The 23,037-nt window shown below is 43.4% G+C and overlaps 1 protein-coding gene and 1 long non-coding RNA gene across 6 annotated transcripts in view, besides 2 other annotated features; one reads left to right on the forward strand and one right to left on the reverse strand.

Moving 5' to 3' along the window:
* Window positions 1-16,756, reverse strand: part of ADAMTS9 (ADAM metallopeptidase with thrombospondin type 1 motif 9) — a 172,347-nt gene extending 155,591 nt beyond the window's left edge. For all 5 annotated transcript variants that reach the window (XR_007095711.1, XR_245151.1, XR_007095712.1 and 2 more), the window contains exons 1-3: window positions 16,299-16,756; window positions 15,324-15,724; window positions 9,957-10,119 (exon numbers count right to left, since the gene is read on the reverse strand). Coding sequence is in view for 2 of the 5 variants with exons in the window: in NM_001318781.2 (NP_001305710.1) it covers window positions 9,957-10,119; window positions 15,324-15,724; window positions 16,299-16,413 (679 nt within the window). In the remaining 3 variants the exon portion in view is untranslated. The remainder of the gene's footprint in view (window positions 1-9,956; window positions 10,120-15,323; window positions 15,725-16,298) is intronic.
* Window positions 6,930-7,431: an enhancer, noted in NCBI's record as "NANOG hESC enhancer chr3:64663850-64664351 (GRCh37/hg19 assembly coordinates)". NCBI's record gives its function as "activates a minimal SCP1, AML or CMV promoter by ChIP-STARR-seq in naive H9 embryonic stem cells {active_cell/tissue: H9 hESC(naive)}" and the evidence as "EXISTENCE:reporter gene assay evidence [ECO:0000049][PMID:30033119]".
* ADAMTS9-AS2 (ADAMTS9 antisense RNA 2) overlaps window positions 13,626-23,037 on the forward strand; it is a 326,599-nt gene continuing 317,187 nt past the window's right edge. Inside the window, exon 1 of the long non-coding RNA NR_038264.1 lies at window positions 13,626-14,094. This is a non-coding gene — a long non-coding RNA (ADAMTS9 antisense RNA 2). The remainder of the gene's footprint in view (window positions 14,095-23,037) is intronic.
* Window positions 13,823-14,324: an enhancer, noted in NCBI's record as "H3K4me1 hESC enhancer chr3:64670743-64671244 (GRCh37/hg19 assembly coordinates)". NCBI's record gives its function as "activates a minimal SCP1, AML or CMV promoter by ChIP-STARR-seq in naive H9 embryonic stem cells {active_cell/tissue: H9 hESC(naive)}" and the evidence as "EXISTENCE:reporter gene assay evidence [ECO:0000049][PMID:30033119]".

Genomic DNA, 23,037 nt, shown 5'->3' on the forward strand with positions numbered 1-23,037 from the left:
ACACACTGTGCTTAGTGATTATTTATATATTCTGCAAAAGGCAAAACTATAGAGACAGAAAACAGGGGTGGGGAGAGGGGCTGATTACAAAGGACACCAAAAACTGTTCTTTAACTTGATTATCACGATGGTTCTATGACTGTATACATTTGCCAAAACCTGCAGAACTGTATGCTAGGAAGGGTAAATGTTACAGCATGTAAATTATACATTAATAGAAAAATGGAAGGAAAACACTAGGAAACACGAATGGAAAATAAAAAGATTTTTCAAAAAATAAAAAATAATTAGCAGAAAAATTCTCAAGCCAATAACATTAACTTGAACTTTTTCCACACAGCAACTGCATTTTTAACATTCATTCTAATTCTAATGTCATATAGGAATTGGGAATCAATAAAAAGGAAGACTTGTGCCAACATTTGCCTCACGTTTGACTTTGCTCCTTCTCAAAGCCCACTACTCAGTCACATGTGCATACCACATCAGATCTTGCATTTACCCATGCTCTTTTTGTGATATTCAGATTATTTATTAATGATTTTCAGTTGCACAGAACATCCATGCAGATATCTGGTCCACAGGTAAAAAGTCAAATGAGAAAACACAGCCATAAATGGCTATAATAAAGACTCTTTTATGATACAATTATCATAAAGAAACCATCTTTGGCAGATACAAAGGTGCAAATGTTAAACCTCAATGCATGATAAAATAGCACTTTATTAACCAAAGTGGGCTTATCCCCTCATATGAAGAAACTCAAGAAACTTTGCCATGTCTTACTTTGAAAAGACAGCCTACTCAAGTGAAAGGTCTGAAGGGTTCTCAGGTTAACACCAAAATCCTCCTGCCTCTGTCAGCTAGATGGCCCTCTTCCAGAGTCTTCTGCTGATTCTGAAGTCCCTTCTAAAGAAAGATGTGCGTCTTAGCCAGTTTCAGATGGTTCCTATGAAGGTGAACACATTATCAAGTATTCACCCTTGTAGCACCCCTTTTCTTCAGCAGGGAATGGGTTTCTGAAGCAAAGTGTCAGGAATCCCTAAAATATGATTAGCAAGAAACAGGGAAAGGTCCTGAGATGGCACAGAAGGTGTAAAGCAGGCAGCTCTTCTGGCTGTCTTTGGATCCAGAAGCTTAATTAAAAAGTTTTAGGGGCCAAGTGTGGTGGCTCATGCCTGTAATCCCAGCATTTTGGGAGGTCACAGCAGATGAACCATTTGAGGCCAGGAGTTTGAGACAAGCCTGGCTAACATGGCAAAACCCTGTCTCTACTAAAAATATGCAAATTAGCTGGGTGTGGTGGTGCACACCTGTAATCTCAGCTACTTGGGAGGCTGAGGCACAAGAATAGCTTGAACCTGGAAGGTGGAGGTTGCAGTGGGTCAAGATCGCGCCACTGCACTCCAGCCTGGGCAACAGAGCAAGACTCTCAAAACAACAACAACAACAAAGGTTTTGGGGAATACGCATATTTCATATGTCAATGAGTTCTAATCTCAGGTACAAACCTAACTTGCCACCTTACAATCCTAATTGCAAACTGGCCCTTCTGGGCTTCAAAACACAGGTGAGGGAGATCCTTTAAGGATAGAAAAGGTAGTTTAATATTTCAGTCCATGATGGAATGCAGATATGACAGTGGTCTCCTAAGATCGTAATACTAAATTTTTAACTGTACCTTTTCTATGTTTAGATACACAGATACTTAACATCACGTTATAATTGCCTACAGTATTCAGTACAGTCACATACTGTACAGGTCTGTAGCCTAGGAACAATAGGCTATGTACCACGTAGCCTAGGAACAATAGGCTATGTACCACGTAGCCTAGGTGTGTGGTAGGCTATCCCATCTAGGTTTGTGTCAGTGCACTCTGTGATGTTCACAAAATTACCTAACAAGAATGCATGGGTCACACACACCCTATGCATGACGGCACTGTAAATTGAGGATCTTCCTATTGATAGGAACATCACAATGACAGCCATCAAGGCACTTCAGACAAGGAGTCAAAAAACCTCCCAAAGATACTGCCTTTCCCTTCAATTAAATCACTCTGAGAAGTGGCTTAATGGCCCAGGGGCTTTGCTCTGGGTACCTGCTCTGGCCTTGCAGACTGGCCTTGCTTTTCTAATCCTTGCAACTGCAGCCTGACCTGATGATGATAAAGATGAAGCAAAGAGTAGGGGCAATGGAAGGGAAAAAGGGGCTATATGCAGCAAATCTCAAACTAGAACGAAAATAGCAATTTTAACAACAGCGATGACGACAACAAAGTGAAAAGTTGCGTAAGAGACAACGATGAGTTGCAATGTGTGGACTTTGTTTAGATCACAATCTAACTGATGATTGTAAAAAGGCATTTTGGGGACAATGAGAAAAATTTTAATATAGGTACTGTGTAGGCAATATGAAGGAATTGTTAATTTTGCTGAAACATTATTTATAATATTACTTAATATTACGTATCAAATATTAATAATATTATAGTTACTTAGGAAAAGATCCCCACTTTTCAAAGATTTATCATGAAATATTTAGAGATGGTATCTTGAGTTTGTTTTAATATACTCAGCATAAAGAAAAATAAGCAAATGTAGAAAAATCTTAGTCATTATTAAGATTCATGGTGTTTACAGTGGTTCATTTTATTATTGTCTCTAGCTTTATGTATGCTTGAAGATGTTCATAATAAAATGGTTTTTAAAAACAAAATGATAATTTTTAAAAAAATTTAATGAATAAGTGGGAACAAATGAAAGAAGGTACAATTCCTGTATTAGAAGTTTCTTTTTTACTACCTCTTAATGACTTTATTGGAGTACTGCACTATTAACACTAAAGTTTTTTTTTAAAAAAAAAGGAAAGCAGAATTTTTATAAGTACCATTCAGTAGATCAAGTTGAAGAAATAAAGAATTAATGTATTTAAAACAGTGATTTTCTAATAATTTACCAAGGATTTTAGAGGTCATTGCTTATATTGACTGTTTATTAGACAGAAAGTCATTGAAGACTATAAAAAAGAGAAAAAAATGTATAAACACCGATGAAGAACAAAAAGGGGAAAATGAAAGGAAATCAGGCTCAAACCATAAATCCCAAATGGCAATAACTAACTTTAAAAATTCATAATCAGTCTTGAGTTGCAGTGCCAGCTTTTTCCCTTTCTGCAAGCTGTGGACAAGTTTGTTCACCTCTCTGAGTTCAGCTTTCTCATTTGTAGGATGAGAATAATCAGAGCATCTTCCTCCCATGAACTGTTGCAGGAGTAAATGAAATAACCATAATGTGCTTCCACATTGCCAAGTACACAGTTCCTTAAATGCTGCCTGTTCTTGATCTTTACAAGGCTGAAAGGGTCTAAGAATGCAGAAAGTGTGTGGTGAAAGTGCAGGCAGACAAGTTCCTAGCATAAGTCACTAATTAGCCACCAACCACTGACTTGCTTGGGGCCCAGGCAGGATTCTGAAGTCAGCCAAAGCTTCCGTCACTGCCTGGAACCCATAGGCTGCCCCAGAATGTTTTACCGAAAGCCCCCTCAGGGGTCTGCTCCCCAGCTCCGTCTCTCACTCCATTTGGGTACCACTCGAAGGGCAGCTAATCTAATCAGCTAATCTATGCTAAATTATTAATGGGATCCAAGAGGTTAATGTGTAACAAGCATACACTCCATCAGAGGCCTGCTGGAGACAGACACAAGGCCTCTGTGAGTCATTAGAGTCTTGGTGGGAATTTCAGGCACCAAGCAGCCTTCCTCAAATCAAATCAAATTCCAGACAGGCATTTAAAAATTCCTGCCAGCAAAAATAATTCATATATGAATGCAGTCAAATCAATACCGAGGCCAAAAAATATCCCCTAACTAGACCAGGACATAAGGGCTGAAGAAAATGGTATGTTGATGAGCTTTATAACCTCAGGCAAGTCAACATTACAGACTTCTCTGTGTCTCAGTTTTCCAATCTGCAAAATGGAGTTTGCGGTAAGAATTGAAATATGTAATCCATGTAAAGTTGTAAAGTGCCTGGAACAGAGGCTACCACATAATACACACTCAGCAAATGTCAACTCTTATTAGTATCATCTAGGGAATGGAAATTAGATGGTAGTCAAAGAAGATGCTCCAAAAATGAAGTTAAAAAGGGGTTTGTAGGCCAGGCATGATGGCTCAGTCCTGTAATCCCAGGGAGATTCTGTCTCTACAGTTTTTGTTGTTTAATTAGCCATGTGTGGTGGCATATGTCTTTAGTTTTGGCTACTTGGGAGGCTGAGGTGTAAGGATCCCATGAGCCCTGGAATTGAAGGCTATAGTAAGCTATGATCGCGCCACTGCACTTCAGCCTGGGCAACAGAGTGAGATTCTGTCTCAAAAAACCAAATAAACCAAAAAAGGAGTTTCTATATAGCAGTTTCCATTTGTGTTTTCTATGCAATTTGGCCCATAGTATAGCACATTGGAAATAGATTGGGTTAAGGCTCAGACTCTCTTCTTCCTGGCTGTGTGACATTTTGGACAAGTTTCTCAACCTCTTTGAGCTAATTTTCTCAACTGTAAAATAGGGGTAATAATACCTACCCTACAATGCTGACCAATGTATTACATATGATAATGTGTGTAAAGTGTGTAGCATAGTGATCCCATATGCACATAAGAGCCTAACAGATGATGGCTTTAATTATCATCTTATGTTTTCCAGCCTTTATAACTGCAGCCTGGAAATCCCAATCAGGAAGTGATGGTACCTTCTAATGGGAGTGATAAACAGAGTCCCCAGTGCCTAATGGAGATTAAATCTTAATAATACCAGGGTCAGTCCAACAGGCACAAGGCAATTTAGCTGGGTTGAATGAGAGATTCAACTTTAACCAGCCACAGATGTCCCAAAGAAGTAGACACAAGGCAGGATTTTTATCTGTCTGGTTATTGAGACTGCCTCATTCCAAGAAAATAAAGGACCGATAATCTCCACTTCTAAGGTCCTAAGATCCTAAGAGACCAAAATGTGGCTTGGCTATTGGTCTCCAGTGACAAGTTCAATAGGTCTAGCAAAATAAATCCATGCCACTATCCCTGTTTCATTTTATCTGTATTTTCTGATTATGAAACTATCAAAGAAACATGCAAAGGAGTCACAAAATAGAAGAATATAAAAGTTCAAAAGTAAAGACTGCCTATGTTCCTAGTAACCATAAATAATCACTGTTAATATTTTCATGCCTTTACTTCAGATATTCTGTTTACACACATGTACCCAAATAGAGTTTATCATTAAAAAAAAATAATATCCTACCAAACATATTAGTTTATCACCTGCTTGTTCACTGAATATATATTCTGTGTTTGGTAACATAAATTCAGGCCATCATTTTTAACAGCTGCATAGGAATCCATTATATGCCTGCCCCATAATGTATTGATCTATCTTCCTCCCAAAGGGCACTTAGGCTGTTTCCAGGCTTTTGCTATAATAAACAACACTGTACTGGATCTCGTTCATAAACACCTTTACACAATTGTCTGATTATTTCCTTAGGCACAGCATTGATGGGTCACAGAGTAGACAGTTCTTAAATGCCTTAAGAAACAAAAATTACCTGGCCTTGCTGAGATGGGAAGGTGAGGGAGAAGTTTGAGTTAGAGAAAAACACTTGCCTTCCAGGCCCAGGCAAACAAAACAGCCTTCTTCCCTGCCTTTCTCTCACCCACCTACCAGGAAGCACTGATAAGAACCACTAAATCCTCTTGTGCAAAATTCAGGGTCAAATAGAGAGTGTCCGTGAAACAGAACTTGGGATCTCATCTGGAAACAAGCAATGGGAAGGATCCGCAGGAAGTGGCTTATAAAAGCAAGCCACTCTCCAAAGGGCTCCCATAGGCCTTTTGCTTGTGCCCCTGGTGTGTGGGGCTAGCAGGCAGTGAGCACAGTGAATTTTACTGAGGACCCAGTATGTAAAGGACACTGCAGTCACAAGGGCATGCCATAGGGAGAGAAGACACCCCACTTCCCATCGTGAACCCTAAAGAACTCACAAATAGGATGAAAAGACAAATAAATGCAGAGACACTCAAATGGCCCAAATGTATACACATAGACATAACCAGTGATGACAAAACAGAGACAATCAGGAAGGGCAGCCACTGGGCCAAGAGAAACTTGCAAGAAAGAAAATATTTAAATGTTGCATTGGGTACAGAGGAAACAAGGGGACAGAAAGCACCCTCAGCCTTGCTACTAGCTGGCAGGGTGACCTTGGGCAAGTCCCCTAAACCCTTCATGATTACCCAGAAGCACTGGGCTATTACCTTTGAATTTTAGTATTTGGAGTTTTCCTTTCCTCATTGTGGTGTTTTGTTTTCTATTTTCATGAACCTTAAAAAACACCTACCATTCTGTGATTGTCTACCACATGCTAAATAAACACTGTCCTGGGAGCTTTCATTATTTCATACTCATTTAGCCCTAACTTCAATCTTGAAAGGTACATGTTATCCTCACTTTATATTCTAAAGTGTGCTTGAAGTCATACAACTAACCAGGAATATGGACAGTTCCTGGTTTTCTCCTCCTGGCACAGAGAAGTTGCTCAATAAAGACTTGATGGCTAACTGAATAAATGCACGCATGAATGAAGAAACGGAACTGTAGACTCCTTTCTAAACCCATAAAGTTTTCATTGCAGTAGACTCCTTCTATGCTTCCCTTTTTAACATAAGTTATCTCAGAATCCTTTTTTGAAAATTAGGCATACCTCAAGATTCAGAAATGACCAAGACATATTCCATCTGCGTGTGAAAGTGTCACAGTCATTGTGTCTTGCCCTGCTCCTACTCCCATGATCTGGTAACTAAAGGGTTACACTGAGCTCAGCAGGAGACCTCTCTCCCAAGGCTAGGGAAGGTTCGGATGGGTTGGTGTTGAATATATAGGATATCACTCCTGGGAGGAAGCATCTTAACATCCTGCAACTTCAGTTTCCTTATCTGCACAGAATTAGATTGTTGGCCTAGACAAGACTGCTAAGGACTCCTCCAGTTCCAGTATCCTATCATCCTATGAGAAGAGGAGACATGGAAAGCACTGATGTAGAAAGTCAAGTCCACAGCAATGCCAACAGCAAGTGACAGATAATGACTACTGCCTTAAACCCAACTTTAGCAGTGACTCTCAAATTTAGCTAAACATCTGAATCACTTGGAGCACTATTAAAACCACTGATTCTTGCTTCATCACATTTGCCTGGGAGAGGGGTTAGTTTTGTTTTGTTTTGTTTTAAAGAATCTGCATTTGTATGAGGCTCCCAGAGTACTTCTAAAGGTCACTTTTGGTTACCAACCACTGCTCTTGATTGGGGGTTGGGAGGGAAGATGAACCACTGAATCTGAGTGGATTGCTATTGCTAGGCAGCCCCTTTTCTCTCTGGCAAGAGGGACTACTCCCACCTCAACCTACTTTCACTCCCTGTGCAAAGGCTACCTGGTTCCAGAGGTGTCCTTGACCTGTTGGTCCATTCCTCTGATACCTGCTGGTGAATCGTGCCATATTCTAAACTGTTCTGAGAAGCTGCATCTGAATTCAAAGAAGGGGTGCAGAAGTAGCTGGAAGAGAGAGACCAGAGTGGCACAGCCCAGCAGCAACCTTTGGAAGAGCTGATCAAAACTGCTGGGCTCCTGGTTCATTACAAGGGATGAAGGAACGGCATGCCATATTGGTCAGGAGCAAGCAAACACTAGGAGGAAAACTAAAAGTACTGGCATTGTGATTTGGAAGGTGGTAATTAAAGGCCCCAACCTTAATAACGACTGGAACCAAAATAGACTTTTATTTTATTTTTTTTAACTAACGCATCTTCATTGTCTTCGAGCCTGACATTTTTAAGATTCACTCTTCTTTGTGTTTTTAACAGGATTTGACAATGACATTTCCTCCAGCCCAGGAAATCAAATGTCCATTAACTTGCATAATTAATATTTTAAAATGAACCTTGAAGATTTTTTTGAATCACAGTACTAATTAAGACTTTCTCTTTCTGCCCCCTCTCTCTTTTCCACACAGACTCCTGCACAGAGAAAATGGGTCACGGAATAAGACAGAGAAACATGGGTCATCATTGTGGACTAGCTGTGAGATCTTGGGCAAACTACTTCATCTCTGTAAATCTCAGCTCCTTTTCCAGGTATTATACAACAGAGTTAGGAATGGTAACTACCTCATAGGTTTGTGATAAGGATTAAGCAAGGTGGTACATGTACAGTGCTTTGCATAATGCATGTACAGAATAAAACAATAATAAATAGTCATTTTTTAAAATGTTGACCTGTAGCCGCTTTAGGGGAGAAGAATATCATGAAGTGTCATTGGTCAATAAATTCATCAGTGAAAAAAATATTTCAGTGTCTTCTGAATATATACTAATAAGATGGAAGGAGGGGAACTGCAGATTTCATTTCTGTATGTTATGTATACATTTCATGTTATGTTTACATTTATACACATGTCTAAAATGTGTACTTGCTAATACAGATTTGGGAAGTCAAGAAGTTTAGGTCAATGGTCTTACTAGCACGGTCAAAACTGTGATAAATGTCCTGTCCATTAAACTTGCTGGTGGCTGGCAGTCTTGACTGTATACCTGCTGCTGAAACTATTGTTTTTGATGTATCTAAGTATACTTGCCCCTCTACTCCTCATATCCCTTGGCTCTTTAGAGTCTGACAGAATGCTTTAGTTATATTCCATCTTGTTATGGTGGTAAGAACACAGAACTGGATGGGATAAAGCCAAAAGACCTACAATGTTACACCCTTAAATTTGGCTACTTGTAGGTTATAAATAGTCAATGTTATCTTTTATTAAAGGATTCACTTTAGAAATAATAATTCCAGGAGAGAATAGGACACCACATGCTATCCCAGTGAACAACCTGGTACAGGTATAAGATGAAGTAAGTGATCCTCTGGGGAGCATTTGAGGAAACTCCCTGGTGGTCTTGAATTTAGGCCTTGTTTGGAGATACCAGAAAGACCCTGAGATGCTATTTAATTTGGAGAAGCAATTTTAAAAATAAAGAATAGAAAGAAAGATAAAGTTTTAGAGACAGGGAAGTCCAAGAATTTTTTTTTAAGTATTTTCACGAACATCCTAAGACGCAGGACCAAATTGAGGAATTATTTCATAGGATAACCTATCATCAGGCAGAAAGTAACCAGGCTTCTGAGGCAGTGAAGTGTTGCTACAAGACTGCAGATGAAGAAACACAGACAGAAGCTTTCCAGGGTGCCCAGAATGACATATCCTTGACAATGGCCAAACATGTCAGCGCAAAACCTCAAAGAATCTGGCCAGGATGGAAGGAGACTAGCAGTGGGCACATAGGATTTGACTGGTTGATTGGTACCTCACAGCATAACGTACAGGTACCTTGCTACAGTTCCTTAAGTCACAGAACATGAGCAAACCTGAAGTTTCTAGGAAACATTCAACAAACACATATATGTTTTCGTGGCTTCCATTTATAAGACATTTCTGTAACCCTACATGGTGAAACAAACAAAAAACACCCAAATGAACAGAAGATGCCAAAAAAAAATACATGCATTTGGTGACTGAGGGTGCTACTATCATGACCTGAATATTACTCAAGGTTAAGCCTAAAAATCAGCAACTTCAACAGAAAAGGTGGCTCTTCCCATAGAGGGCATGGAGTCACTGCTTTGAGTTCAAATCCTGACTTTATAACTTCTTAGCTGTGCACCTTAGACAAGGTACTAAACCTCTCCTTAGTCTCCACATCTGTACAGTGGGGTATGTATCCCTACATCATTTGAGGACTGAATAAACAATAATGCATATGGTTGCACTTTGTAGACTGAAAGAGAGCTACATCTCTGTAGTATAGCAATTTACCCATCTCAAAGAGCTGGGCTCTCCGCTTAAGCAAGAAGCAAATACCTGAGGTGTCACATGCATGCCTTCCTGTTGAGGGCTCTCTCTGGGGGGCGCTGCGCCTATAAATGATGTGGGGTTTGTTTTGTTCCTCTTCATCTTCTTGTTCATCCATAGACTGTAGTGGTTCAATAAAATAATCCCCATCATGAGACCGGAATGTGCCCAGCTGCAAATGAAGAGAGATGGGAGGTTGATTTAACGTAACTCAGTCATTGGGAGGAAAAAAACCAAAAGAACATTTTCAAGTAGAGATGGTGTCATTTTACCCAATCTCTTTTTCAGGAGGGTTGTTTCAACTGAAAATGCTGCAACATATGCGGAGAAGTGGTTTATTTCCACTCTCTGTCATATCAGTATATTTTCTAAAAATTATTTATTATTTACTATTCTTATTATTTTAGAGATAGGGTCTTGCTCTCTCACCCAGCCTTGAACTCCTGGGCTCAAGCAAACCCCCCACCTCAGCCTCCTGAGTAGCTGGGATTATAGGTGCATGCCATCATGCCCAGCTAAGTTTTTTACTTTTTGTAGAGATGGGGGTCTCAATATGTTGCCCAGGCTCAATATGTTGCCTGGCTCAGCCTCCCAAAGTGTCATATCAGTAACTTATTCTTGATTTGACTTCAGTTGATTGTACCTGCTATCCAAATCTGTCTCTAAGAAATACTTCCTTAGAGCTCAAGTTCCAATCATTCCTGCAGGCTGTCGAAAGAGTCTTGGAAACTTAGAGAGCCTAGAAACTTAGGGACAAGTATGCACTCCAGCAGGAAAAGCTGGCCTATTGAAGTCTTCCCATTGATTCAAATTCAAGAAGCATATGTTGGCCACAATGCATTCAAGGTGGTACCACCTGTAACGCTGGCACATGATCCTCTCACCAACCCTTTCCTTTGCAAAATAGGGGAGTGATGTCCTGCAAGGCTTTGAAGCCAGATTGCCCTAGGTTCCAATTTCAGCACCAGCACCTACCCATTCACCTTGGGCAAGTTCCTTAACCACTCTGTTTAAGCTTCCTTGTTCGTCAGCTGGGGATAAAGATACTTAATGTAAAGAGTTACTGTGCAGATTAAATAAGATAATGATAATTAAGTGCTTAGCAAAATGCCTGACACCTTGCAAAGGCTTAGAACTCGTGAACGGTTTTTGGTGTTGCCAGTGTTAGCCTCTAACCATTAGGATAAAATTTGCTCTTACTAATCATTCTAAGCACCTTGCAAGTCATTTTTGCTCCTTTTCACCCCACATACCCAAGTTTTTACAAATGATAAATGATACCTCAAGATTGAACCACCCAAACTAAAAATTACAAGAACACTGAAAAATTCCCCATGCCAAGTTGCTGAGTGGTGTTTAAGAGGAGAAATCAAGCTCCACTCTTCTCCTCCGCTTTCTCATTTCCCGTGCTGGAAAAAAAATCTGATGCCTTGCATCCTTCCATTGACACAGGAGAAATGACTCCCTGAACATCAGCAGCTGCATCCGCATCAGCATCATCCAGGAGCTTATTAGAAATTCAAATAATTGTGCTCCACCCCAAATCTGATCTATTGAATCAAAATCTCTAGGGGTAGGGCCCAAGAATTGAAATGTTAATGAGCTCCCAGGGTATTCTTACGCATGATAAAGTATGAGCAGCACTAGGCTAAGACGTTGGCTCCCCAAAACAGCTAGCTTCAAAATTGCCTGGGAAGGTTTTTTGTTTTTGTTTTTAAATTAGATTTAGGGCATTACCCCCTACTCACAGATTCAGAATTTCTAGGGATGGATCTAGAATGTTTTTGTTTTTTGTTTTAAAAGCTCTCCACATGATTCATGAGCCCCTGGTTTAAGAAAAGGGCAGCTCAGGTGTGGTCAGACTAAGAGACAGAGTAGCTAGTTGCCAGAGAAGCAGTGATTTAATAAATTTATTCTCTGCCTGTGTTCAATACACAACTCTGGTGTTCTCTGAGCACAAATCAGAGAGCATATCACAACATGTGAAGCCTATCAGAGACATGAGTCCTGGGAAAGAGCCAGGGAGCTCAGCTGGTGACGATTTGCCACCTTTGATTGGTAAATGGGGAAACCAAGACACAGAAGGAGGAAGTGATTGGGCCCAAATTCCCCTTCAATGGTACAGAAGCAGCTGCACAGCATTGAGTCTAACCTGACTTTAGTCTCGTGCCTTTTTATAAAAGAACCCTGAGGTTCTCTTCAGGAGAACAGGATCAGTCTCTGGTCTATGGTTAAGCACATGGATCAGAAAGACCCGGTTGAAATCCCAGCGCTGCCACTTACGAGCTGTGAGATCTTGAGCAAGTCTCCAGCTCTCAAAGTCTCAGATTTTTTTTTGTCAGTAAAATGTGTTGTTCTGAGGATTGGGTTCTTGGAGGATTTGGATGAGATAATACATATGTAAACTACTTACAGTAGTGCCAGGCAGACATTAATAGTAAGAGCTCAATAAATCATATCAATGTGATGCCAAAATTAATTGTACTGTTGATTCACAAAGGTGGGCCTAAGAGTTATCTTTTCTTGGTTAAGGTGACTATTTATTCAAACATATATGCTAAGTATATACAACATACAAAGCTCCAATATAGGAGAAAAATGAGTTGATGCTGACCCTGTTGCCAAGGAGAAAAGGATAGAACATGTGTACCAAGAACCTTGATACAAGGGAGAACGTACTAAGCATCATAAGAGAGACTCTCAGAAGTGTCTATGAAGGGGGAGGGGGAGAGATGACATCAACATGGGGAACTATGAAAAGGTCTTCTGGGAAAGAAGAGATATAAATTATATACACCTCCAAAGAAGGGTAGGATTTGAGCATGTGAAGATGAGTGAGAAGACCAAGTAAATTCCAAGGCACAAAGGCAATGAAGACTAGGATTGAGGGTGGGGTGCAGAGAAAGCAGTGTAAAACCCATGGCCTGAAATGCAGGATTTGTGGAGGAAAGATTGGGAGCTGAGACTGGACATGTGGATGTGAGTGAGTGCACTGTAAATAGTCTTAAATGCCAAATGGAGTTAGCGATCGAGGAGAAAGACTGGAGAAGAAGCCCAGTGTAATATTTCTTAGACATCAGTCCTAAGGAGAGAGGGGGAGAAAAGTGAAGCGGGATAGATTTAGGGTAGAGATGTTCAGGAGAGGCGGGCGACCCATCTCAGATGAAATTCAGAAAAACTGACAACTGACTAGGGGTGGCAGGATGGCACAGCCCACTCCAAAATCTGGTAGACTCTGGTAGACTCTTCAAGATTTCCTGGAAGACTCCTAGGCGGAGAACTAGCAACATCTTGATGCCACTGCTGCAGAAGTGGTAAGGGGAAGTCTTGGGAGGAGATAACTTCCAGAAGGAAGACAAAGGGGCAGGGGTTTTGGAGCTAGATTAATGGCTGAAGATACGAAGAACCAGAACGCATATCTTTAAGATGTATGAGGGCCCTTTTCCCCAAAAGAGGCAGACTGCGAATTAAACGCAATATAAATGAGGTTATCACAGTCCAGGTAGTCGTTTCTGAAGCCCTAGTCCTCAGTTCCCAAAGAAACCACGTGCGCACTACCACCTAAAACTGCCAATGAAAATGAAGGTCCTGCGCAGTAAAATATTTATACAACTGCTGGGGCCACTAGGCTTCAGCGGGTGTGGAGGCGGGGAGAGAGGAGGAGTAAAGGCTGTTTACAAACTTGACGTACACACGCAGTCCTATCCCTACGGTCCTGGAATTGGGGGTTACTATCTTGGAATCTAGGGGCACTCCAGGCTCTGGGCTCAGACGGCTGGCTTCTGCCTACCCGAGCCTTAACCTTTCAAGGACCAGAAGGATTCCAGAGCTCTTGCCCTAGGTCCTGGGGCAGCGATGACTCACTGCAGCACCCCCTCCCACTTCGCCAAGCTGCCGTCTCCGCCCACCCCCAAACAATCTCGACAGCGCATTTCGGGAGCCACGGCTCCGGGCGCTTTGCTGGGGGCTAAAGGGGTTTATCCCTTTCCTTGAATCCCAGCAGGCTAGAACTACCCCCTCCCAGTCTTCAGGCTTGCCACGCTCTCCACCCGATCCTTCCATTGAAAGGCAGAGAAGGAAGGATGTGCTTGGGAACTTTAAGACCCACGAACGACAGCGCACTGATGGAGCAGCCCAGTGTCTGGGGGTGAGTATCCAAGGCCCCGCTTAGAAAAGGGAGGGAGGGGCTGTGGGTGCTTCGGGAAGAATAAAGGCATCACCGGGCACAGTGCCTACGACCCCATTGCGCTTACAGCGCCGTGCGCTGGGAGAGACTGACCCGGGAAAGTTTCTGCGTCACACGCGCGTGGCAGAAACGCACGTCGCTTGGGAAAGTCAAGGACCACCCTTGCTCGGGCCAGAACCGTACCGCAGCGACTCCTCAAATGTCGTGGAGAAGTGGGGGGCAGATGCCTTGTAAGATCCACTGGAGGGCACATGCGGGGGTCGACAGAGAGTCGGGGAACCAACGTGGATTCCCTGCTAAATGCTATTTGGCAGCGCAAGAAGGCGGCCTCCCCGCCCTGCCTCAGTCCCTAGGGAAACGTGCGCCGCAGGCTCCCTCTCTCCACTCCCTGGAACCCGTGAGTAGTAGAAACCCCAGAGGAACCGAAATCACGTCCGGACAGCCTCTCCAGGCTGTCTCCCACTATCCCGTTTCTCCCGGCCACCCCGCCAGTAGGGTGCAGAGTTGGACTGCGCTGCACCCCCACTCTCGGTTCCACCCCAATTCAAAGCGTCCGGGGTAGGCTCCGCCTTCTCCCCCGCCCCCAGAGCCCTCGGCCCACCCTTCCGTTCCTGGGACGGGACCTGCTCCCTGTCAATCCAGTTCAGCCTCAGGGTTCCTGGCGCGTGAATAAAGGCCCTGAGAGAAAGCGGGGACTCTAGATTACGCACCGCCCTCCACAACACACACTGAAGGAACTCCCAGTGCCTTGGGCAGGGGATCCTCAGCCCCACATCCCCGATGCAAGGCGCACCAATAAGGAGTCTGGTCCGCCCTGCGCTCAGCGGCTCCGCTCCCGGGTGGCCAAGTTTGCTGCAGGGAACCGCAACTCCAGTAACTTTCTCCGAGTTTGGAAACTGACTTCCAGGCCGCCTCGCAGCGTTGGGCAACGCGCCGCTGAACCGAGTCCAAACTCCAGAAAGCTCTGAAACATCCAGAAGCCCCTGGGGGCGGGTGTGTGCGCTCCACGCCAGTGTACTCGCACGCACAGAGCTAGCTACCCAAACCATACGAGTTTCTAGCTGATATTTAACGCCGGAGAGGAGCGGAGCCTCGCCACAGTGAGGGTCTCTAGGCTTAGAGGACAATTAAGTCTTCTAGAAGCGGGCGAGGAGGCGGAAGGGGAGAGGAGGTGGCGCGCGCCCACTTACCATTCCTGAGCAGAGGCTGATGACGGCCGTGTGCTCGGAGTTGGTATTGACATAGCCTTTGTAGAAACAGTGCTTGAGTTCCGCTTCCTCTTCGGAATAAAACTTGGTCTGATTCACCCCGGGCGTCCCGAGGAGGGTGACAGTGAACAGTGGAGCGATAAATCCGGCATTGGCGGTGAGATTAAATAGAAACTGCTGGCCGAAGGCAGAGAGGCGGTAATGCGCCTGGGAGGAGGTAGAGGAGGAAGAGGAGGAGGCGAAGGCAGGCCAGGGGTCAGTGGCAGAGTTAATGCTCCGTCGCGTTCTTTTGAAGTGGACGTTCGTGGGAAAGGGTTCTCCGAGAGCGTTCACTCGGATGGGAGACACGATTTCGTATTCGCTCAGGGTCTCTAATAATTTCACTGCGGAGAGAAGCAGAGGTATATGAACCAATAATTCATTTTTCCTTAAGCTTTAATTTAAAACGAAGGTGGGGACTTTGTTCTGACCTTATTTTCCAGCCCATTCGAGTCAATCCCTTCACCCTTAATCAGTGGACAAATATTTGCTGAGCACCTACTATGTGCCAGTAACAGGACCTGTGCTAGGTGCTGAGGATACACTATTCCGAGCCAGACAATTAACAAGTCAAAATATATATGATTTCAGATATTGATAAATAACCTGAATAAAATAAAACATGACGCTATCTGGTGCCCCCAATTACTAAGTTACTTTAGTTTGCGGCGTGGGAGTGGGGATGGGGATATATCTGGCAACAGCAAGGTAGGGGGGGGTTGCCTAAATTCGTTTCCATAGTGTCCCTCCCTAGCAATTGGTTGGGGATGACCCAAAGAAGGGAGAGGCTGCAAAGCGGGAGATAATTCTTTCTAGGAAAAGGAGAGAAGCCTCCGCTGCGGGGTGCCCCTGCCCAGGAGCGAGGACCGGGAGGCGGCGTCGGGGCCGGCGGGGTCCCGGGGGCCGGAGCCTGGTTACCTTGCCTCGGGTGCAGCCTGTCCTTGCGCACGGCCGCCGCGGCGTCTGGGCTCCCCATCTCGGCCAGGTCCCGCACCAGGAGCGTTAGCAGTGTGGCCCAGGATACAAACTGCATGGTGCTTCCCACCCCTCCCTCCGCTGCCCCCACCCCCCTCCCTCCTGCCCTCCTTGGCTGCGGCGGCGACGCGAGGCAGCGGCCGTGGAGAGCGCGCGGAGCCCGGCGCCCGCCGCCAACTTTTGACTTTAGGAGTCGCTGAGGTCTCGCTGCGAGGGTCCCGTCTGCGCTCGGCTGAGCAACGCCGCCGCCTGCCGAGAGCTGAGCCGCTCGGGCCGCAGGAGGAGCCGGAGGAGCAGGAGGAGGAGGAGGACTGGGGCTCGGCTGCTTGGCCGCATAATGCCCAGCGAGCGGGCAGGAGAAGGCGAGGAACTTGCGCTCCGAGGCGCGCCGGGCGCCCTGTGCTGGCCGGGATAGCTGAGCGGCTTCTTGAATGGGGGGCTGGGGGGGCGGAGGCGGGGGGGCCGCGGGTCCACAGCCTCTCAAATGCCCCCGGTGCACGCCTCTAAGAGGAGGAGAGGGGAGGAGAAAGCGAGACGAACGGGGACCGCCTCCTTCCAGACCATGTCCCCTCCTCGGCCGGCCCGTGCGGGACTCGCAGCCGGAGGCCCTGCCGGCTGCAAGAGGCGGAGGCCAGAGGCGTCACCAGCGCCGGGGCAGCTGTTCCTGGTCCCCGCCACCTCGCTGAAGTGGGGTTTTCTGAGATTCCCTGCCCCGGGGAGGGAAAGCAGGGAAAGTTCTCTCCCTTTCCTGGCGCGCGTGCAGCCACTTCCCCTCTCGTCTTTTTCCTCTCCTCTCCTCTCTCTCCTCCCTTCCGAGTCTCTTTTTCCTCCTCCCCCTTGTCTCTCTGCTGCTGTGCCTCTCGGACTCTGTCCCTTCTCCCCATTTTCCCCTGTGATGTCTGTCTTCTCCCCGCCCCACCGTGTCCCTGTCTGTTTCTCACATTTCTCCTTTTCCTTTCCTTTCTCTTCCGTCCCCATCTCTTGCCACCAGTCCCCATCTTTTGGTTTCTTACAAGTGAAAGTGGCCCAGCGCCGGAGCGCCTTCCCTTCCTACACTTTTTCATTCGGGAAGAGATTTGGCACCTGAGCTCCGCTCTCGATTTAATCACCCCAAGTCAAGAGTTTTAGAAATGGGGTTCTTAATCCTGCAGGTCGGAGTGTGTTTCTAATACGTGGTCTCTTGAAAATTTCGCAAAATATTTAAGCTGTGCTTTCCACCAACCTCTGTCACCATTCATGGAGGGTCCATAGCATTCTGTAGGTCCCCTGCCCCAAAAAAGGTTAAGAACAAATTTTGGCAGCAAGAAGGGGCGGGGACTCTGGCGCCCCTCACTACCAGGGGGTTTAGAGATGGGAGGGGAAGGGGGGATGGAGTGTAAAGTTGTAGATCCCTGTGGGAGGCACCAGTCCCTGGAGGGATTTCTCAATCACTTCCGCTTGCTTTCAGCCTGAGAGATGCTTGGAAAGACTGGGAAAGACTGAAAGCAGGCGCTTCAAGCTACACCTTCGTGTGTGTGTGTGTGTGTGTGTGTGTGTGTGTGTGTGTGAATTGTTCAATCTTGGGTGGTTCAGTGGCGCCTTTTCTTTAACCAGCCCTCAGGAAGATAGAATTTCAAGATAATTTCAAGAGGAAAGACATGACAATATCGTTAAAAATATATAAATATATGACTAATAAATATATATTTGCCCAAGTATCCTAGAACGGGGGTTGAGGTTCTGTTGCGTGGTAGGTTAGCACTCAGGACTAGAAATACCAAAGATTGCCAACACCAGGAACCAAATCGCAATATGCTAGCAATGTCAACTATTCTTGAGATACTAATACATATATTTCTTCTGGTGAAGGGTAAAAATGACTTGGCAAGACGAATTTGCTAAATAATTGTTAACCCAAATTGATAATGTTACCATCGTCTTATTACTGGAATTTCATAATGGATATGTAAAATGTAAGGATGGAAAAATAACATCTGTATTGTGCACAATTAGAGATTTTTAGAGAATGGCATTTAAACCTTGAACCTCCAAATTAATTCACTAAAATACGTTTCTTCTAATACACAATCTTTCTTTTTATTATAACAACATTCCCCACAATCACAGTGTCTGGGAGTTGCTGAAAATTTAGTAAGGAACAGAAAAATATCAAGAAATCAATCTATTGGCTGATTCCTGTGGAAAATATTCCAGTACTTCCATTGTAAAATTACTCAAAAATATAGCACTTTCCAGTATTTCCCATTAAATCTTTTTTTCTCTTTCAGTTCAAATCCTTCCTGACAAAGAGAAGTTAACTAATGGTATAGAAATTACGATATGTAGGGACAGAAGCCTCCTTTGTGTACTCTCTCTCCTTTGCTTTCTTTCTAGGACTTTGCTTGAAGAATGAACTTTGTCTACAGTTTTAAAAAATTGATCCACAAGAGCTGATAGGCCAGAAAGATACAAAATATCTCTTGGTGAACTCCTGAGGTGACCAAGAACCTAGGTTTATGAATTTCTCATCCTTAGTGAGTCTACCCATCTTTTCTTCAGTGTATTAGCTGGCTTCTGCATTTACATCTGTAAAAAAGTCTTAAAGAATCTTAGGAAAATGTCTTTTAAATCGTGAGACATGAAAAAGACAGTTGAGCTAACTAAGCAAGTCAGGCAAAAATCTTTTGTCTGAATAATTACTCTTTGTCTAAATAAGTACTCTTATTCAGTACTTACCATGGGGTAACATATAGCATTTAATTTAATTCTCAAAACAGCTCTTTCAGGAAGTCAGTGTCAGTAATCTCATTTTACCAATAAGGATACCGAGATCTGAATAAGTGAAATAATTTGACCCCCCTCAATCCAGTAAGTGAGAGACACGATTCAAACTCCGTTTCAGTCGTTCAATCCAAGTTCATAACTATTATCATATGTCATGAATAACTGATTAATCAGAAGCACTGCTAGATTTTTGGAGGGTTGCTTTGTGGGAAAATGGCTAAAATCATTCAGAGAATTGCCTCAAGCTTTTATTGCATGTATAACTTTTCTTTAGCTCTCTCTTATTCTTCTCATGCAAAGTATTTAATGAAAATCATGTCAGCGATTTCATTGATATTTCACAGCTTTTCCCTCAGCAGTTAGAAGAGATCTGGCACATAGTAGGTAGTCAATAAGTATTTATTAAGACTAGGCATGGTGGCTCACACCTGTAATCCTAGCACTTTGGAAGGTTGAGGTGGGAGGATTGCATGAGGTCAGTTCAGCGGTTCAAGACCAGCCTTGGCAACATAGCAACCCCTTGTCTCTACAAAAAAAGAGAAAAGAAATAATAAAATGAAATAAAATAAATTGGCCCCTCATAAAAATTTGCTCTGAAAGAAGCAAACCTTTTCAAGGTCACCTGGAGTTAAAGGAGGGACAGTTTTTAGCCCGTTTTCTTCGTGGGACTTTACTGGAATTGAATGGTATTGTAGGTTAAGTGGAAGTATTCATTGGCTGATTCGTCATGAAAATTAGATCCCAGAGGAGTGATGAATGATATTAGTCACTAGGGAGAGATAATCCGGCCAATGGAAATGACAGTGATGACATCACAAATGACTCTGTTTGCCTAATGCCACTGGAAACAGCAGGAAGGAGACTTGAAGCAAAGCCATCAATTTCCACAGAAAGGGGAAACCCACACCCAAATGGTAGGGAGGGCCCAGGAGCCAGAATTCAAGTGAATAGTTTCCTGAGTGGTCAGCAGCGTCAGGTGATTTGGGGAACAGATAAGCCCCTGGTACTTGGTAGCACTGCATTCTGGTCAGTGAATCACCAAGCTGGGACCTGGTGCTGGCTGAGCTCTGTGACCTTGGGCCTAAAGAATCTTAGGGAGATGTGTTTTACATGACAAGAAATGAAAAGGACAATTGTGCTAACTAAATAATTTGGGTTCCAATCTTTTGTCTGAATAATAATAATGAGAATCTTTTCTTGAGTACTTACTATGTACCAGACCATGTGTACTATGTCCTCTCTGATCCGGTTTCCTATTTGCAGACTGCAGCAGGTAGAAACTGTGTTGTCTTTGTTTGCCCTGTGAGTGAATGACCTTAGTGTATTTTTTAAAAGTCTTCTAACTACTGACTTCAAGCAACAGGTACTGTAGAGAAAGTAGTTTGTATCATTATTGATAATAACAGTAGATTCCCTTCATTGAGTTCTTTGTGCTAATTATTCAATCCTCATAGCTATCCTGCCATCTGGGTTTTACCCTCCTCATTTTACTTACAATGAAAATAAGACCCAGCAAAATTAAAGTGACTTTGCCTGGCATTATGGAGTCAGAATGTGCAGTTGGGATTTACACTGGGGTCCAGTTACCTCCAAAGCTTGTGATCTCCATTAATCAGAGCAGCCTAGTAACATAAAGACTGTCGCCTAATTGATCTTCATCATTCAGCATTTATATTTGGCCTGATGAATACCATCTGTGAGAACATCATTTTTTCTTCTAATGCTAAATCTAAAGTTCTAACTAGCTTTTCTTGACCCTACTCTGAAAGTCATAGTTCCACTTTGGAGGTGGCTCTGTATAGCTCATGACCAGCTTATAGCAGTTCTACGAAGGTGATCCGATCTTCAGCCTGTTCACTCAGCAGGAGCTCCTTGTTGACTTGTCATTCTAGAAGACCATACTCACATTATTGCTCAGGCTTTAAAACTCCATATGCATCCCACTAATCTTTCCTTTGACTGTATTCTTAGGGCTTCAAATCCTTTTTCTCCTCCCTCTACTATCCTTGAAATGAGAGCTTCACACCTGGGGTTCAACATCATAACTACAAATGGAATTCAGAAGTGCTAGGCTTCTAGCTTTGATCCAAACTACTTCCAAACTGCAGCCAAATTAGCAACACAATGTGTGCAAATACAATTTTATTATTCTCTAAAAGTGCACATTTGATGTAGACAATTGTTAAATATATGGCATCTTTAACTAGCGGGGAATCTGATAACTCTAGGAGTATTTTGAGTCATGCCAGAGTGCTTTATGCTCCCTGAGTCCAGAATTTTCCCTTTCCTAGTTTGGTTCACATGTGTTGTTGTGTTTTGGTGTCCTTTGTTAGTCTTTAAGGTACACAAGGGCAAAGGACAAATCTATTTTCTCCATGGTTACATAGTAGGCACTTCACAAATATACCTTAAATGAGCTTACTGTTGCCGCTAATTTGGTTCTAGTTTTCAGAGCCAGGTTTTTTGTTTTTAATTTAGAAAAGCCATTCTTTTACACACACACACACACACACACACACACACACACCAGGAATGATTGAAGTAATTTCTGTTTCTTACTGTATTATTATTACTCTTAGGAGGCAAGTCCTGCTTTAATCAGAATCATCATGATTCCTTTTTTCTGGAATGAGACATTTCCAGAGCTAGGCTTTCCCCAGTGGGTACTTCAGGATCATGAGTAACAAGGCACAGGGCCTCCCTTAATTGCTGAGCACAGCAAGTAAGAGTTACACCTATGCTGTGGGCAGTTTTGGTATCCTTTGCGGGTCCTAAAGAGAAGGTAATAATGGTTTCCTGCCTCATAGGGATGTTATGAAAATGACTTGATCAATGAAAGTGTTGGCTTAGTGCCTGGCATACAGGAAGTAAGAATGTTCAAATCAGCGGGCTTATGTGAACCCACCCACTAGTCAAGGAAGAGTGGTTCCTGACTCCTGACCCAGAGAGCCGCTAGCAGACTAGCTTTCCTTTCTCAGTTAACCTCCCCACAACCCCACTCCATAACCAATTTATGGGCCTTTCTCCCCTAGAAAAGAAAAAAAACAAAAACAAAAACAGCCATTTGTGTGCAAATGGGTATGTATTTTTTCATACTCATCTTTACTGTTAGCCCTTCATCCCTCTACAAAATGTTTAATGTTTTAAACAGATTTACTCCCTACAGTCTGCTTGGGTTAGTAGTTTATATAGATTTAATTTAGCATTTTCTCAAGTACTGGGCTTTTTTTCTGGCAGAATTTTTCAAATAGCCAAAACATAATTTTCCCTCTGAATATTAAAAAACACCAACAAAAAAGATTTTTACACGACAAATAATTTTTACACATGCAAAAAAGTAATTTTCAAAAGTAAGCACTTCTGCCAGATGATGCTTAATAAGTCTGTCCTAATGGTATTTATCTTAATGCTTACTTTCAGGAACAGTGGATAATACCATATTCAGTCCCCCTGACAAACCCCTGAAACAGGTAATGTCATTAGTCCTACTTTCTGGAGGAAATGAAGGCACAGAGAAGATAAGTAACTTGCCTGAGGTTGCACAGCCAATATGCAGCTGAGTGGGAGTTGAGTGCTAGGCTGTTGGATTTCAGAGCCTGCCCTCTTAAATTGCTACGTGACACTGACTCTCATATGTATTTATGTTTTATCAAGCTTAATATAGGATAAATTGTCGTGCTTAGGGATGTAGTCTCAAAGAGTGGAAATTCAGACATTAGTAGAAATTCAGGTATCAGGACAGTTGGGGACCAGGAGGCCAAAAGGGGGTATGGTTTAGGGAGTCATTCACAGATGTGGGATTCTGGATATCAGGACAACTGGAGTTGAGGAGAATGTCTTCCCAGCATCCCAAACCACTCATTCGCCTAACAATTAGACTGGCCCTTGGGAGCACTATTCTTCTTCATTGGTCTCATTG

Source organism: Homo sapiens, chromosome 3 (genome assembly GCF_000001405.40).
Source record: "Homo sapiens chromosome 3, GRCh38.p14 Primary Assembly".
NCBI classification, from domain to species: Eukaryota; Metazoa; Chordata; class Mammalia; order Primates; family Hominidae; genus Homo; species Homo sapiens.